Source organism: Homo sapiens, chromosome 4 (genome assembly GCF_000001405.40).
Source record: "Homo sapiens chromosome 4, GRCh38.p14 Primary Assembly".
NCBI lineage: Eukaryota > Metazoa > Chordata > Mammalia > Primates > Hominidae > Homo > Homo sapiens.
Genome location: NC_000004.12, coordinates 155,709,077 through 155,727,728, shown reverse-complemented (window position 1 = coordinate 155,727,728; position 18,652 = coordinate 155,709,077). Strand labels below are relative to the sequence as shown.

General features: G+C 37.4%; 1 protein-coding gene and 1 long non-coding RNA gene across 27 annotated transcripts in view; one reads left to right on the top strand and one right to left on the bottom strand.

Moving 5' to 3' along the window:
- Positions 1 to 3,311, top strand: part of LOC105377506 (uncharacterized) — a 33,998-nt gene extending 30,687 nt beyond the window's left edge. For both annotated transcript variants that reach the window (XR_007058484.1, XR_007058483.1), the window contains exons 7-8: positions 170 to 195; positions 3,223 to 3,311. This is a non-coding gene — a long non-coding RNA (uncharacterized LOC105377506). The remainder of the gene's footprint in view (positions 1 to 169; positions 196 to 3,222) is intronic.
- Positions 1 to 18,652, bottom strand: part of GUCY1A1 (guanylate cyclase 1 soluble subunit alpha 1) — a 70,212-nt gene that overhangs the window by 9,331 nt on the left and 42,229 nt on the right. For 22 of the 25 annotated variants that reach the window (NM_001379669.1, NM_001130683.4, XM_005262957.4 and 19 more), the window contains 4 exons: positions 16,478 to 17,187; positions 14,146 to 14,631; positions 10,427 to 10,570; positions 5,537 to 5,691 (listed from right to left, as the gene is read on the bottom strand). In NM_001379669.1, the coding sequence (NP_001366598.1) occupies positions 5,537 to 5,691; positions 10,427 to 10,570; positions 14,146 to 14,631; positions 16,478 to 17,187 (1,495 nt within the window). Of the gene's footprint in view, positions 1 to 4,258; positions 5,692 to 10,426; positions 10,571 to 14,145; positions 14,632 to 16,477; positions 17,188 to 18,652 lie in introns of those variants that run through there. The other 3 variants (NM_001379676.1, NM_001130687.3, NM_001379675.1) reach the window with 3 other exon arrangements.

The following is an 18,652-nucleotide window of genomic DNA, read 5'->3' as shown; positions in this document are numbered from 1 at the left end:
TACTTAAATATTAGTATTGGCTACATGAGTGTCATCTTGTTTGCTTTGTTTTTTTATATGTTTAAAAATTAAATACAAAAATGTATGCAACTATAAGAGTCTAATAAATAAAAATGTATAAAACTATAGGTGATTAAAAAAATTTATCTATTATTTTTTCTATCTACAGCAACTCAACATTTCCTACTAAATACGGTAATGACAATTATAATCTCCTATTTAAATGTATTATATACATATATTCAGCCTTTAGAAGTGGCTTTAAAGTGCATCATTTGAATTTATTAAGGGCATTGCTCTAGATTGCACGTCTGGTAAGTGCTGTTTGTGGGACTCTAAGGCATGTCTTCTGAATACAACTTCTATGCTTTTTAAAGACACTTAACAGACAAACATAATTAGAATGCTATGGAGTTTGAAATGTTCATTATATTGTCTTTTTAAAAAATCAGAATATATAAGAAAAACCATTTAGAAAAACAAACCATTTCGATGAAAGCTTGATGATAGCAACACCCAAAAAAGGCAGCAACAGCCCAGATGTCCTCATAGGTGGACATTTTTCTCTACACCTTCTTCACCAGACACCATTTTTCCGCAAATTACTGCATCAATGCTCCAATTCTCTGTTATCTTTCCTATATTCCTTTATTCACTTTGTTCCTTCTTCTTACAGAAGTCAATTCTTGCTTCTCTAGCACAATGTGCTCAGACTTGTCCTACAAATAAGAGATTCTAGGCCTGTTTACCCCACAAACTGGACAGCATCCATGTATCCTCCCCACTTGCCATTTTTGTTTCTAATGATCCCTGGATCACCACATAATCCTCTAACATTGACCCACTGACCTGGAACTAATGTAGTAGACCTGGATCCACTGACTCACTGATCTAATGTAGTCTCTACTAGTCTCTATTAGTTTTCCTTACTTCAAGAATGCAAACAAAATGTCGAATATTATCCCCTAAAATTAAAGTAAAACTCCTGACAATGTTTAAAAAACAGGAGTGTATAACTGTCATTACACTGCTACATTCTGAATCACTGATTAGAATTTGGAAGTGGAAATTTGAAGATACAGGTTTTTTTTTGGTATAGGTATGTATTCTGTGTCCTAAATTTACCTGTATTTCAGAAATATATCATGGAAGCTACATTCAATATTAAACAGATTATTTTATTATTAAAGAAATATCATTCCAGAATTTAATGTATCATCAATAAAGCTCTCCAAAGAAAACTGCATTTTGTGCTTGTACACCTTCTTTAGCAGCCGCTTCTTGTACTATAGTTTGAGTAAAACTAAAATTATGCCCCTACCGTTGACTAAATTTCCCAAAGCATTGGATGTTTAATTGAAATTTATTTATATTATTTTAAGTTTTCCCAGCATATGGAAGAAAAGTGAAGTATCTCTGAAAGAAAGGAATTTAAAATGTTGTTAAAAGTATTTAACATTAAGTATTTATATTTTGCCTAAATAAGACAGTATTAACTACTGCTTTCCCTTAGGCAAGGCATAAATATCTCATATACGAGAATAAAAAGAAAGTAAACTATTATTGAAATCAATACAAAAGGAAAAAAGCTATATCATATTTGTCTATAAAAAGTAGAAATGACTTCAGCAAATGAGCTGAAGTTCAATATAAATTAAATTAAAATTTCAATGTCATTCATGCATGTGTATATAAACGTAACTGAAACAAAGACAGAAATGTTAATAGTTACTATCTCTGGGTAATGAGATTATGACTTATTCCTATTACTTACTTTATAATTTACTAATTTTGTAAATTTTCTGAAATGGGCATGTGTTACCACAGTAATAAAAAATTTATTTAAAAGATAACACCATCTATGCTATAAAAACCTATATGTGCATTTCTAGTAACATTGCCAATACAGTGAATCTAAGACTTAAGTCATGAGCATTGTCCTGTTGTCAGAAATATATGTCAACATGTTGTGGTCCTCTGCTGAAATACATGAGATCCTGAATTATATTTTGAAGAAAAATAAGTAGCTAATATCAGTGCCCCCTAACATGACTCAAGACCACCAGACTTTGAGATACAAAATGCAAGAATTTAAAAAGTTTAGTTTCATACTGTTAAAAACAATCAATATAGAAGAAAAAGGAAAATATGCTTTTTATATGTAGCAGTTTTGTTTTAAGGTAGGATTCCTCAGTATGCACATATACACATAACACATCACTTAACATTGAAAGAGAAACACAGGTGTCAGTGAAAGGATGGGCAACTGACTCCTACTTAATAGGATGATTCCTCTTAATGCCTACAGAGAGAGTAGAATCATATTATCTCAAGGCATGGATTCTTATCCCTACCTATTATACCCAGTAGGACCATAGGCCAATTACCATTACAATGAACCCCAGGGATTTTTCCAATTCTCAGGTTATACTGAGTTGTTTTCATACCCAGGAGTCAACAGTTAACCAGTAAATACTTCTTGCTTTCCTTCTGTGTTTCACGCGCTGATCTAGGAGCTGGGAATATGGAATGTGTACCACAGGAAGCTAACATTCTAAAAAGGGAGGCAGGCAATCAACACATAAATAAATACTGCATAAGACAATTTCAGATACAGGTGTGAACTGAGAAGATGAAATAGGATAATGAGAGGGTATGTGAGGAGAAGGTTGTTGCTATAGTTATGATAGTTAAGGAGTGTCTCTTTAAAGAGAGGAGAAGAAATGATCACTGTAAGGTCGATGGTCTGAGTAACTAGGTGGATGGTGATATCATTTTAAGGTGATTGGTAAGCTTGCCTGGGTGGGAAGTGGATTTCATCAGTCTGTGTGGGAAATCACTCATTCTAATTCGGTCCAGTTCATTTTAATATGTGAATTAGTCATCCAAGTGGAAATATGGAATAGGATATATGAGTCTGTAGCTCTGCAGAGAATCACAGGATGGGCGAAAGATTTTTTTTAAAAAATAGTTAGAGTCATAAAAGTTCAGATACAGAAGATAACAGGAAAAGAGGCTCTGAGCACGGCAACAAAGGTTTGGTAGGGAAGGAGTACCAAGAGAAGACACTGAGAAGGTGTAGACATGGGGTAGTGAGAAAACTAGGTGAATGTGGTGCCAAAAATTTAAAGAAGAAAATGTTTAAATGAGGGAGTTCTCAGCCTATTCAAATGCTTCTGAGAGGATAAGGAGAGAAAACTGACAGTGATTTTATTTTAGCAGGGCACAATGATGACCTTGATAAGAACCGTTTGAGTGGAGTAAACACTGACTGGAGTGAGTTGAAGAGAAAATAAGAGGTGGAAAAAATACAGATAGTGAGTATAGACAACTTCTTTCAGTTTTGCTATAAAACAGAGCAGAAATTGAAAATTGTAGCAGAAGCCGGACTTGGAAACAAGGAATTTTTTATTTTTCAATTCAGAGCTTTAATAGATATGGTTGTATTCTGTTGGGAATAATCATTTCATCAAAGAGAAATTGATCATAGAGAGTTAATTTCCACAGAAAAGTTATTGAGAAGGTGAGAGGAAATAGCACTGAGAGTAAAACTGTATCAACCAGGGGCAGGAGGGGAGCTGGGCCAATGTAATGGGAACAAAGAAGGAGGAGATGAGTACTGGGGTAGCTCTGCTGAGAGAACCTACAGCACAAAGATGGCAAAGCTCCTGTCTGACTTCTATTCTGGTGGTGAAATATGAGGCAAGATTATCAACTGAGAGTCTGGGCTGGAAAGGAAAGGATGCTGGTGCCTTAAGAAGGGAGAAGACCAGGTGCATTGGCTCACGCCTGTAATCCTACACTTTGGGAGGCCAAGGTGGGCAGATCACTTGAGGTCAGGAGTTCGAGACCAGCCTGGCCAACACGGCAAAACCCAGTATCTACTAAAAATACAAAAATTAGCCAGACGTGGAGGCGGGCGCCTGTAATCCCACCTACTTGGGAGGCTGAGGCAGGAGAATCACTTGAAACTGGGAGGCAGAGCTTGCAGTGAGGCAAGACTGAGCTGCTGTACTCCAACCTGGGCCATAGAGCAAGACTTAGTCTCAAAAAATATAAATAAATAAATAAATAAATAAATAAATAAATAAATAAATAAATGCAGAAGAAGAAGGGAGAAGATGCTATTAAAGAGTTATCTCTGAGAATAGGAAAGCTAACTTGCTTAGTATAATTTAGCTACTGTATAGATCTGAAAAACTCTTTTGTTACTTAAGAGTTTCCAATATAATGAGACAAAATGTACATGAAAGATATATTTCTAGTTACCACGGATTGGTTTATTTTCCGGTTAAAGGTGGATAAGTGATAACAAAATGGTAGATTTTATTGACTCAGGCTGTATACTACATGTTGTCAAGGCGACAGTGAAAATAAAGGTTCTTCTGATGCTAGATGACACGTGGCTCCTCTGACCGTGTTAACACTTGCTGCCAGTCCATAAAACTGCAATCTTTGAAAAGTGCTCGATGACCAGCTAGTTTTCCTCTGGTAAATTCTTCCCTGTATGATAGGGAATTTGACTGGCTGTTGTCCTTGATTGCAGGGAGGGAGCTTCTAAAACTCTTGGATTTTTTGAGTTATAGGAGTATCTGTTTTCCATGAGGCCCTTGGATCACTTTTGAGTTTATATTAATGAGATGACTCAGAATGGGGGCAGGGCCCCAGAAAAATCAATCTTGTGGATAGAAGGTTGGGGTTTTGTGTTAGCCTAACCTCTGGGGAGGAGAGTGGGGGTGGTGACTGAGTTCAATCACATGGCCAATGATTCAACGAATCATGCCTACATAATGAAAACAATAAGACTCCATACACCAAACTCAAAGCTCAATCAGGTGGAGCTTCCTGGCTTGTGAACCCACTGAGGTGGCTGGAGGGAGATAAGTTCTGATTCTATGGAAGCTCTGCATTTGGGACCCTCCCAAACCTTACCCAAACTGTTTCTTCATTTGGTTGGTTCTGATTTGTATCCTTCGAAATAAAACTGTAATAGTAAGTATAGCAATTCCCTAAGTATTGTGAGTCATTTTAGATAATTATCTAACTTGAGAGGTTCATGGGAACCCCCAAAATTGTAGCTCAGTCGTCTAAATGCATACTTAGGTCCTGAAGGGTGGCTGGCATCTGAATTAAGGGCAGGCTTGTTGGGTTCTGTGCCCTGTAACTTGTGGTTATGACTGTGCTGAGTCTGGGTGTTTACTGCCAGAACTGCACTGCAGTGTACTAGTTGATGTCAGAACACCTATCAACATACTAAGAGTATTAATATGTGCTTCTAAAAGAAGAATGATGGAAGACTATGTAATATCTGTCATGGATTTATGGCTGGGCCACAAACACCTCAGGCAAGTCATTCTTAGGAGGCTAATAAGCAGTGTAAAAAAGTTAAAGTGAGGATGATAAAAGTTATCACGTTTCTTTTTTCCTTACGACTAAGGAAGAAAAAAGTTATGAAGAATGAATCAAATCAGTGGGGCAAATGGCAATTGTATATAAATAAAAACAAGAGATTTTAGGTGTTTAACATAATTACTACCTGTAAGTTGTTGGGCTGACATTGATTTTTCGTGGTACACTGCAGGACTCAAATTTGTTAGCCAGAGTGACATTGTTTCCAAAAAGACAGTAACGGGGCATTTTAACTCCAACGACGCCAGCAAAAACTGATCCAGAGTGCAGTCCAATTCGCATCTGAAAGCAAAAAATAACATGATGTTCCCAGTCACTGGTAAAACACTTCCTACTCGTCAGTGTCGTTTGAATACCGTCTAAATTATTTTACCATTCACCCTCAGGACACCACCCCTTTCCTCAAAACCTTCAGCCAACTTCCCTCTACTCCTCACATGCAATTAAAAATTACTAGTGCAGAATCAACAGTCACACTTCTTAACTCTTTTCCATTTAGGTTTATTACACAAACCATCTTAATTGTGTCTGTCTTCAACATCTGAAACAAGTTTCCATGCACAGGGATCATAGTAACCACAGCAACATAGCAAGGGGGATATGAGCTGTTTATGTGAAACTGCCACCTCTCATTCAAGTGAGATAGACATAATTTCTGGACTCCTGGAATCATTTTCCCAAACACTGACAAAGAAGGGCAAATGAAGCTAGCTCTAAGGATATTAAATATATCTTTTAGACATTTTACCTCAAAATAGCTTTATACCAAACACTATCCCACTGTTCTAATGACTTACAACTGAGGAAATGAAATTGTAATATTTAAGCAGAAAATGACAGAGGAAGCAGAAAGTGGAAGGTACTTGAGTCCAATGACGATGACAATGTCTATATACATGAAATTAAAAATCCATACTGATGAAAGATCAGATTTGTGCCATGCCTAGATATAAGAGGCAGTCTGGGATGTGTTGTGGCAAAATTTTAGGAATTCTGGAAGTCTCCAATGATTTGGAAAGCCACTGAGACAGAATGTTTTATTTTATTTATTTTTTAGAGACAGAGTCTTGCTCTGTCACTCAGGCTGTAGTGCAGCGGTACCATCATAGTTCACTGTAACCTCGAACCCCTGGGCCCAAATGATCCTCCCATCTCAGCCTCCTGAGTAGCTAGAACTACAGGCATGCACCATCACACCTGGATAAGTTTTAAATTTTTTGTAGAGACAAGGTCTTGCTATGTTGCCCAGCTGATTCTCAAACTCTTGGGCTCAAGTGATCCTCCTGCCTCAACTTCCCAAAGTGCTAGGATTACAAATGTAAGTCACCTTGCCTAGCCAAAGCAGGATATTTAACAATGGAATCTTCAAAGGTCTGATTACTTGATGATCTTAAAAGATTCACAAACACTTAAATTACTGCTACTACAAAACAAGCTAAAGTGGAGATATTTTAAATGATGATGATACCATGTTAATTATTTTCAAACTCTTTGTTTACTCAACCATTTTAAAAAGTTGTATTAGATGTATGCGTTTTGAATGAAGACCAAGAACTCAGTAACTTGGATATAATTTAGAAATCAGAAGAATTCAGTTATGTCTAGTTTTAATAACTAATTTCAGATATCTGCTAGAAACTTTCCAGACTCATTTACTTTTAAGATGTCATATGAGTTCTACAAAATTTTCAAACAAAAGCACTAGACTGTGAATCAGGAACTTTGTATTCTAACAAGCTCTACTAGTAACTGGTAGTCTGGCTTCCTTAAGTCTCTTTACTTCCCTCCGATCATGTTTTCACCTATAAAATGCAGGGGTTTGATTATTTTTAAAGACCTTTCTTCATCAAAGTTTTACTTTAACAAGCAAAACTTAGATGTCTGTTATATATCTGGCTTTGTCTCTTTTAGGAGAATATTAATTTACACATTTAGCAAGTGATAGATAGATAGATAGATAGATAGATAGATAGATAGATAGAATAAAGCTCTTCTGCTCATAAATATCAACTATGACTTCAGCATATTTAGATTGAGGAATTTTTGCTTTCTGTGAGCACTCTTCTGGTTAAACCAGTTTTTCTTCCTATACTTAGTTACTCCAGCTTATTATATATTAAATTTACCATAGCATTTTTATCTTGTTTCATAATTAAAATGTAAATATATTCTGCTCGTAAAAACCGAAACGATGCAGACAAGGCAAGTGTCCCTCCTAGTCCTTCCATGCCGTGCTGCCTTCCTCCCCTTCTCCAGTTTTGAATCTCTCAACCCTAACATTTTCTTACAGAGCTTTTCAAATTCATCAGCAAGATTTAAAACACAACGTGTTTAAGACACACATCGTGCCCTGAGCATATCTCTTTTCACTGGTAACAGACTTCCCTGTGAAATAATGAAAGGCAAAGGCAGAATTCTGGCTCCCGGGAAAAGTTTGAATGGGAACCTACTAAGGGCATCTTCTATTTGAGACCACTTGTGGCATAGCCCATTTCTCATCATAAGCTTCTAGGCTTAGGAAAGGAGGGGTACTAGAAGTTTGCTTCCGTGTTCACTTGTCACCTACTGACTTTCACGGTTACACTCAGCCCACTGGTCTCTGTCACCAACCCACCTGCTGCTTTCTAAGCCTGACTGGATGGATGTTAGTGAGGAAATCAATGGGAATAAATGAATAGATGAATGATTTGCACATGTGACGTGCTAAAGGAAAGCATAGAGTTTGAAAAATAAAAAAAGAAAATATTTTCTATTCTTTCACTTCAATTCTATACCAAGAGGTAGCAGGGCAAGAAGCAGAAAAAGCCTGGGCTTTGAAGTCACATGGACATGACTCCAAATACTGACACATAGGAGACTTGACTGCTCGTGTCTGCCAGTGTAGATGCCTCTTTAAAGTGTTATTATAAGGATTAAATGAGACGATGTTAAGTCACAATATGCTCCTTTCTGATACATGTTAAAGTTTCCCTACTAAAAATACTCTCCACTCTGCCTCTGTGATGTTTCACCGGTATCTTTTAGGGACGTCAGATATTTCCCAGGGCTGCAGGTTAGTATGCATAAAAAGGTATGATTAATGATTCCCTTTATAGGTCTTTTAAACTAATCTATCATTACCCAGGTAACTATCTTTGAAACTAGCTATAAATAATTCTTCCAACTTAGAAAAATCTAAAAATACATTTCTGCAAATAACAAAAATGCCATAAATTCCCCCACCCCAAACATACACATCTTAATTATAAAATGTATTTGTGTGAAAATCACTTAAAATGTTGTTAATAGTCTAGATATTTTTAACATTTACATTGATGCTACAAGCCCCCTCAAACAAATTAGAAAGAGAAAGAAATATATAGTCCTCCTCTAAAAAAATGCAATTATCGAAAATAAATCTGAAAAAGTCAGATATTGTGATGCTTTTAAAACATACTTGCAAATTATTTTACACTCCTCCTATTGATTCTTGGGCTCTGAGCCCTCTCTCTTCTGGGCAGACTTGTGATTGCTCTGGCTGATAGAGTGCAGTGGAAGTGTTGCGGTGTGTCTTCCAAGACTAAGTCATGCAGCTTCCACCAGTCTTGTTCAGTGGGACATGAACCACCTCATAAAAAATACATATTAGGGCATCACATGTAACGCTAACAATCCCAGCTGAACCCAACCTTTCAGCCATCCCCACCAAGGAATCTGACATGTAAGTGAAGCAGCAGTCTTGGAATGAATCCTCCAGCTTCAATCGTTGCAATCCCAGCTATTCCAGGCACCCTCACCCATTTCGGTATTCCCAGCTGAGGTCCCATAGATTGTAGAGCACAGACGAGGTATTCCTGCTATGACTTATCCAAATTTTTGATGCACAGAATCCACGCATAATAAAAGTTTGTGATTTTATACCATTAAATTTAGAAAAGTATGTTGCACAGAAACATATAAATGGGATGACAATAGACTTAGAAAATAGTTACGAAGGCTTAAACATATGGCTTCTATTAAGGTTAAAGAGAGTTAAGGGTAAATCTCCAAATATAGTTTTGTTTTTAAATTTCTTCTTTCTTCTCTATATGTTTTATAGCATACCGGATAAGATTTTACAATACCTCAAAGGCTTATTTCTGAAGGTAGTCAACTGAGGACTGTCCTATAAAAATTAAGGGGCAGATTCACTGTGAGACAAAGGTAATCTGCTTATATTCTATCTGTTAAACCAATGCCTACCATGTTAACTTTATTTCCTCATGTGTGGTGAGATATTAGTCTGGAATCTGGCTCATCTAGAAATTTTGAAATGTCACGTGCCTTGGAAAATATTGGTGAATTAACAGTCAACATCCATTCAAATGTAATATCCTCTCCTCCAGGGGCTGGAAAACTAAAACTACATTTTCTAAACTAACTTGCAGCTTCTAAATGCAGTTAGGCTTGGTAAATCAGATGCACAGTTGCATGAGATTCGGCAGGCACAATCTCCACTATAACTCAAGAACAATTGTGGAAGCCTTTGTGTTTTCTATAGCATGCTTAGTAGAGAGTCCATTTTCCCATCACTCATTTTGTAAGTCATGATGCAGGATTGCCATCTTGCTGATTATTATAGTAGATGTGGTTTTGAAGAGGCAGCAGCTTTCTGAACATGGCAGTTTCCTGACTGTGGCTTTGGTAGGATAGTTTTGGAATCAGCTTCCAGATTTTTGAAAATGCAGTTGTTCTGAAGTTTGCCTTTAGAAGCCATTTTACTTTGACAATAGAAAATCCCTATACTATGGGAAACATTTTTTGAAAGCCCAACTTATAGATGGGTTCTTCTGTCCTCTCAATGATTCTGTAAGCCATTTAATACCCTATAATAAATTTCTTCCAATGTAAACAAGTTAGAGAAGATTGTGTTCTCTATATAGATTTTGCTTTCTCTCTCTCTCTCAACTAACCCCCAACTGATACACCATGGTTTTGGTAATCAACTATACGCATTTGCTCTTGTGACATCTTTTGGACAATATATCATCTGCCTTACCTTGATAGGTTCTCCATGGGGAGACATAACTTCATCAGAGAGCTCCATCATCTTCAGGGCCATCAGCGCTATCTGAACAGCATGAGTATCACTCTCTTTGTGTAATCCCCCAGCTACACAATAGGCATCGCCAATGGTCTCCACCTAGACATAATATATTTTCCATACTATAAATAAATGCTCAGGAAGAATCACAGCCTACATCGGATAGAAGAAATTAAGTCATATAGCAGAATTCTCATTGCTCAGGCCTTCTGGAGGATCAGGGTTAATCAGATACGCCCAGAAATGGCTTTCTTTTTCAGGAAATGCGCAAGGTTTAGACCCATTACATTGAGGCACTGCACTGAGAGGCAGTACAGTCCTATGAACACAGTAACAGTTGACTTCTACTCCCAGATTTGCACACTGACTCATCATATCATTTCATCTCTTTTTTTTCACCATATAAGATAGTTTTTGTAGAAACAATATATTTTTGAATTATAATAAATTGTTTAAAGATGTTGGGATCATTTACTCGTTTTATATCCTCCTCATCATAAAATAGTATTTTGCCTCAAGTCACTACTCAATAAATGTCACATCAATGCAGTAAAATTGTGCAATGTAAAACCAAGATATTAATAGTCATAAGAGTAAAGAGAAACGGTTCTTCTAAAGGACCCTTGGGGTCCTCATAGCAATTACATATCTAATGGATACTAATCACAATTATAAAAACCAAGATGTTGAACCAGCAGGTAAAAACAACGGTGGTGTTTGAAAGACCACTGGAAATCAAGCTATTATCAAAAATCTAAGTATTAACCTTATCATTATCATCATCATTATTGTTGTCGTTACAGGCAATTTTTATCTGTCTGTGATGCTGGCTGCAAAAAGCAGATAGTTAATTTTAGTCCAGAAATAACCCCCTAATTCTAAGAGCTTCATTTTTCTTCTTCTCCAAATGTTTATTGTAACTATAAGACCCTATTATTCTTACACAAAGCCTCAATTGTGAAAGGATGAGGGTGAGAAAGGAAAAAAGAAAGGAGGCACAAATCTTCAGAAATTCCCCTCAGAGTAGATGCTGATACCCTTATTATGGCTCCAGATTTCTTCTTTACCTGTCTTTCTCCTAATCTCTGACTTTATCTTCTTATTCTCCATATTGCTCACTTAGTTCCAATGTCACTGCCTTCCATTATCCTTTAAGCACATCAAACATGCTCCCACTTGCTATTCCTTTCTCCTGGAGCAATCTCTCTGCAGATAACCACGTGGTTGTCCCTCCTTTCCTTCAGTCCCTGCTAAAACCTCACCTTATTAGAAAAGCTGATTCCTACCACCCTCTAAGAAATAGCAATCACCCCTTACCCACTGCCCTTCTTCTTCCCCTTAACCTACTTTATTTTTCTTTCACATTATTATACTGACTTAAATACTATAAATTTACTCATTTGTTTATTGTCTTTGTTTCCCCTAATCATATGTAAGCCCTTTGAGTTTATCTAGTTTATTGACTCCTACATTACCTGTGCCCAGTAATGAATGAACCAGGTGGCAATGCCACCCATAAGCTTTTTCTCAGCAATGAGTACATAAGAAGTGCTCATCATGATGGCCATCACAGGTGCTCAATAAATAGGCTAATTAGAAGAAGTCCTACACCCACCCCTACCTGATGTTAGGGGCCTACCATATCTGCTTTTGCAGCCCTTTGTGCATACTGCATCCCTTCGTCACGTCATATGGAAATCTGGCATTGGTCCATTGTGCCCTCTTCTCCCTCTCCATATGTGAACTTTCCTCACAGGGATTGTACCCTCTAGCTCTGTAGCCACTGCGCACCCATGCTGGCAAATGCTGGATAACCAGTACATATTCGCTGAAACAATGGGTAAATGAACACACAGAGAAACAGAAAAATGGCCAAAAACCCAAGAAAGACAGAGAGAAAATAAAATTAAATAAAGCCCTAGTATAATCCAGTCTTGGAATAAATAACGCTGACTATTCTTTCAAAGCCATTGGCACTCATAGGGTAGGCTACGATTATACATTTTGTGTATCTGAAACCCTTCTATATTTATTTTCAGCTATCTCGAAGTAATCTCAAGCAAAATCAGAAGTGAAAAAAAAGTAGAAATGAGGGCTGGCATAGAAGGTAATTTACTATCTAGTTACAACTCTAGTTAGATTAATCAGGGAACTCTGTGGCTGTTGTCCTTATACCTTACAGTGAGGAGCATAGTTTCAAAATGCTTGTCAGGATACTTAAAAACTATACCCTATATCCTTGATAGAAATAACCAAAAGTAGAAGAGGGCTACTTCTGTTAGCAATTACAGCAGTTTGCAAGGAAGAGAGACTTCCTTCTCACAATTCTAAGACAGGAGACCGTCTCAAGATAGAAAATGGCTACAAATAAATATAGTAAATTCCACAAGAGGCCATCAAACTTAACGTAACTGAAGCCAATTATTTTTTCTGTAAGTATACATGGACCTCTTTTTCCCCAAGGGAATCATGGCTCTGTTTGGACTTTCCTGTTAGGAATTTTTAAAAGTAAGGTTTTACTTCTGGCATCTAGAATAAAACAAGACAAGAGCTTATGTATTATCATGAATAATATTCGTTTCTTCCACAATAATTTATTTATTTCCTGTTGGGTTCAGCTCTGAAATGTCAGATTGTTATGTGGCAAGTTCAGAAGATGATTCAAGCCATACAAATGAGAAATACGCTTTATTCTTAGTGCCAATGTCTAAAAGAAAGCAAAGTAATTTAAATCAGTAAAAACTTTTAATTCTAAAGAAGCAGGCAGAACTTGAAATCTCTTCATTAGCTCTCTTACTAATAGTAGTTACGTTTAAAAAGAAAAGGTATCAGGGATGGTCACTGCTGTATCCCCAGTGCCTACAATGATGCCTGGCTCATCCTGTATGACTGATGAATATCATGTATTACCTAACATAATCTTTATAACAATCCTGTTCATGAAGATTATGGGAGATAATGTGTGTTATTCATGCATATAAACTCTGTGAGTGAATATTATTTTCTCTGTCTTAGAAGTGATGAGAAAGGTTTTTTAACTTGGTCAGTTTACAAAGCAAGTAAGGCAGAGAACAAGATTTGAAGATAGGTCTTTCTTTTTCAAATGTCTCTGCCCTTGGCCAAGCTGCAAAAATGCCTTAAGTAGGTGATTTTGATTTCTGTTAACTGGCCATGAAAAGTATCATGTTAACTCTATATTGAAGTAATCTATTTAAAGGCAATTTTTATAATCCTCATGTGTCTTTACTCTTACAGATACAAAGGATAATGTTTCCTTGTATAAGCCATACTTTGAATTATCTCACACTTAATAATTCAACTCGGTTTCCACAGTGAAGTGGCAGATTCACTATTAAACTTCTCCTATTCACAGGTCCTACACCCCATCCTCCATTCTTTGAGCACCCTATCCTCCCTCCATTCTCTCCTCATTCTTTGAGAGGACAGTGTGGCAGTCCTCCCAGAACAATTATCTCTGTTTCTGGGCAGATTCAGAGCTATTGCTGGCTGGAAAACACCCACATAATGAATGCACCATACCTGCTCCCAGGACTGGGCTTGCAAGACCCTACAGAGGTGGCCTTTCAGTTGCATTATAATTCAGGTCCTAGGCACAGTGCTTGTTCCCCAGTGAGTTTGCTGGTAAAACAATTATTTCCCTGGTCCACTCCTACCTTGTAGACATCCAGCTCTCCACACTGCTGGTCGAAGCGAGTGTACAGTGCATTGAGCATGGTGATGACCTGCAGCGGTGAGCACTGGGAGCAGATGGCAGTGAACCCAACGATGTCTGAGAAGAGCATGGTGACATTACTGAACTTCTTGGCTTGCACAACTTGCCCTTGCCACAGCTGCTGAGCAACCTCACAGGGAAATATGGAGCACAGAAGGTCTACTGTCTTTTTCTTCTCCTCCTCCAGGGCTTGGTGGGCTTGCTCAAGGGTAGCCTTCAGCTTCCCCAGCCTCTTCTTCAGGCCATCTTGAGCTCGGGCTTGTTCCCCTATTAAGACCACATCCCTCAGTGCATTGTGAATTGGGATGTCTGAGAGGTAGAGCCCTCGTCCTGTAAAATCTTCTAATCTGTCCACACAGGGTGACCCCAAAAACAAGATTGCACTGGATTCAACAATGTAGATCATTTGGCCTTTGAGGTCCATAACCTATGAAGGAAAGGATAACCAATTGTGGTTTATTCAAGTTTCCCACATCTTTCTGAGACAAAAGAAGGGGAAGTAGATACAGTAATAAACCCTTTGTGTTTAAACCTGCTGAAAAGGAACAATTTGCTTTCTTATAGTTCCTATTTTCTATGAGTTCTAAAATGCGTGCAGATGTTTGAAGAGTATATTAGAGTATACTCTACACAGAAATCAAGATTTACAATGAACAATGCAAAACGCTCTTGCTTCAAGGCTTTCTCACTAAGCAGCATGCTGATGCTTTTGCTACTATATTCTTCTTAATGGTCTCACTTGATTAATCTGAAGTTCTATTTTTTGTATAATATGGTAGTCAGGAAAATGTGTCCTTTCTTTCTTCCTTCTTCCCTCCCTCTTACTTTTTTCTTTGTTCTATTTTTTTGGCTTCCTTCTCTTTTAGCATGTTTCTCTTCTCTTCCCCACTTCTCCCATAAGTACTTGCTCCATCTGGCAGGTATGGAAGTGAAAAAGCCTCCAAAGGTAAGATTTTTATCTTAATTTTTTTTTCTGTCGTGAGAGAGATGGGGCTTCAAGTGATCATCCTGGACCACAAGAAGGTTTACTTGCACATGTGTGGACAAAGATGTGCATGTGTGTTCTTGCAGCAAAAAGCCAAAAGCAACCCAAATATCCTTCAGTAGGGTACTAGTTAAATAAAGTAGAGCTTAGGAGAACGAGGCGGATGGATCACCCAAGGTCAGGAGTTCAAGACCAGCCTGGCCAACATGGCGAAACTTTGTCTGTATAAAAAATACAAAAATTAGCCGGATGTGGTGGTGCAAGCCTGTAATCCCAGCTACTCGAGAGGCTGAAGCGGGGAGAACTGCTTGAACCCCGGAGTTGGAGGTTGCAGTGAGCTGAGAACACGCCACTGCACTCCAGCCTGGGCGACAGAGCAAGACGCAGTCTAAATAAATAAAATAAAATAGAGCACAACCATATGATGGGATACCACTAAGACTCCAAGAAAGCCAAATAGACCTATATCTAATGACATGGGAGGATGCACAAAATACACTGTTTCATGATAAAAGCAGTTGTAAAATAGCATTTTTTTGTTTTAAACAAAAAATGTATATAATTAGTTTTTCATTTTTTTGCTACAATAAACACCTTTCAATATTACTCATTTTTTAAACATCTCAATATATTTTATTATTTTTATGATAGAAAAGCAATAATAAAGCTGTTTTCCTTTTGGGGAACAAATGGTGCTTCTGTTAAAGTTATACATGTGTGAAACTTCTCTCTTAGCTTTGCTTGTATTATCAACTATGAGTTAGCAAACTTTCTTTCCTGAGACTAAATAATTACCAAAGCTCTCTACCATGAGATGACAGAATATGTTTTAACTTCCACATTCGGTAACAATTAATCAAATAAATTATTTGTTTTTTTCATGTCTATTAAATGTTGATTAAAAATCCATTTAGTTGCCTCCTACAAGAAACAAGTGACTTTTGTTTGTTGTAAAACAATACCTCTTATTATTCAACCTAAGTCAGCTATTTGATAATTGAAAACATTTTTATATAAACATTTATCAAATTTCATTATAAAACATTCCATAAAGATATTAAAAGGCAGACTGCATTCAATAAATATTTTTGGAGTAATGAATCAAGTAAGCAAACAAATGCAGAAAGAATTTTGTTTTCAGTTTATTACAGCTTTACAATTCTTTTACCATTGTTTTACATATGTTTTATCAAACATTTGAAGTGATGCATATATTTTTACCCTTTTGTTTCTTGCTCTTAAATATGAAATAGCTTTCATATTCAAGATAGTATTATGTTTTCCTTACCCTTGAAGATTTTTTCACAGAGTTGTCCCATCTCCTCACTCGTACAACAAACTGCATATTCAACATAGTCATGATCCCGCTAAACGTCTGGTTGATTTTTGGAGTCAGAATTTCAAAGTATTCTTCAAAATTAGGCTTTCCTTGAAAGTCTCTCCTGTTCATCAGCCTTCTGATGCCATTGCCAAATTGCAGAATTGTCATATCTTTGTCAAACATGAAATGGAATGGAAATGTCTTGCAGAATAGCGATGTGGGAATCACCAGCGAGGACTGGGGTTTGCTGGGGGACAGGGATGGCTTGGTGCTTTTCATGTGAACGGAGTACAACAAGTAGGGCTGATTCACAAACTCGCTGCAATCATTATGGAAGCAGGGAGGCATTAACGACACTTCCACTTCCGTTTCATATAATACGTGAGCAGCTGCCTTTATGATGCCGGGAAGAATCAGGGAGGTGGTTCTCTTAGGGAAGAAGTAGTAAACATGTAGAAAATCATCCTCCTTATCCAGGCATAGAATGGAGGCGTCCTCAAGCCTGCCCCTTTTTCCTGCTTCTTGGCAATGGCTGCTCTGTTTCAGAAGGGTACTGAAGCTGTTTAAAAAATCTTTAAGGGTGCCTCCAACCACCCCAAGGATGTTTTCATCTTCCTCGTAACATATTTTAAAAACCTCTTCACCAAGAGATTCTTTGATAACCTCCACTGGAACTCCTGAAATCACATAATACATGTTCTGCCATATCAAATATGCCACCTTGGTAAAGCTGTGCCATTATTCCTATTTTCAACTTGCGTTATTTGCTGATTTAGCTCCCTTTATATCTGCTAATAACATTTCCAACCAAAATGAAACCCCTATATCCAAATTATCTACCTAGGTTAGCTTCTAAAATTCTAGTAACTGAAGAAAAATCCCAAACTAGTTCATTAAAAAAGAATGACCGGTTGAGTATAATACACAACTTTTTATCTCCCTGAAACCTAACTACAAAAGAATAATTTGAATTCCAGTATTAAGTACATTTTGGCAAAAGTCCTCCAATCTTTCTGTTAACAACAAAAGCAATCCATCCTCATGAAGAGGATCTTCCTCTATGAGGGTTTCCAGCAGCAAAAGGGTCAGACACGGAAGTTAATTTAAAATTACTGGCATGAAACTCAGTTTTGTCTAGAAATGATTACAAAGCATTTTTTCCTGAATCAAATCGCATTCTTGTTGTTTAGTGTTAGCTGAATGAATGTCTGCTTGGAGTATATAATTTACTTTCTATAGCATTTTCACGAGTGCTATAAGGTTAGAAATAAGCCTCTGTATGTCTGTGTCTTTTTACAATGTTAGGCTTTTATTAATATTATTTTTTATCATAAAAGCCATGAGTTACATGAAGTTTTTAAGGAGGCAATTTTTTTTTTCTTCTTTGAGACAGAGTCTCGCTCTGTCGCCCAGGCTGGAGTGCAGTGGTGCGATCTCGGCTCACTGTAAGCTCTGCCTCCCAGGTTTAGGTGATTCTTATGCCTCACCTCCAGAGTAGCTGGGACTACAGGTGCACACGAGCATGCCTGCCTAATTTTTGTACTTTTAGTAGAGACGGGTTTTCACCATGTTGGCCAGGCTGGTCTTGAACTCCTGACCTCAGGTGATCTGCCCACCTCGGCCTCCTAAAGTGCTGGGATTATAGGCGTGAACCACCATGCCTTGCCAAGAGGCAGTTTTTTTAGTACTTTCTGTTTACTTGTTTCTTAGAGCTGCAGGCACACAGGCTCAAGTCACTCCACAAATCAGTTAGTATTGTAAACGATACATAATAGTATGCTTAATTAATATAGAAAATATAAATGTTATAGGTTAAATATTTTGTAACAAAGTAACACTTAACATCAAAAGGAAAAAGAGATAGGAGAAAGAATTAACAAAGGAGGGTGGGTATGGTGAAGAAGACAAAAGGAGTCTTGGTTTGGGTCAGGCCGTCTTATAAGAAAGACTCTTTGAGATGGCAGAGCCTTTGGTGGCAGATGTCCAGTTTTTATCACGAGTGAATGTAAGAAGGTGTCAGGACGACCGTTTTGAGTTGTTGAAGGTTTAATTTTTTATAGTTACAGAGTCCTCTGGTGAGAACTGATAGTGGAAAAGTGTGTTTGTGTTTTTATCTTGTTGTATGTAGTTTTCATTTTTTTA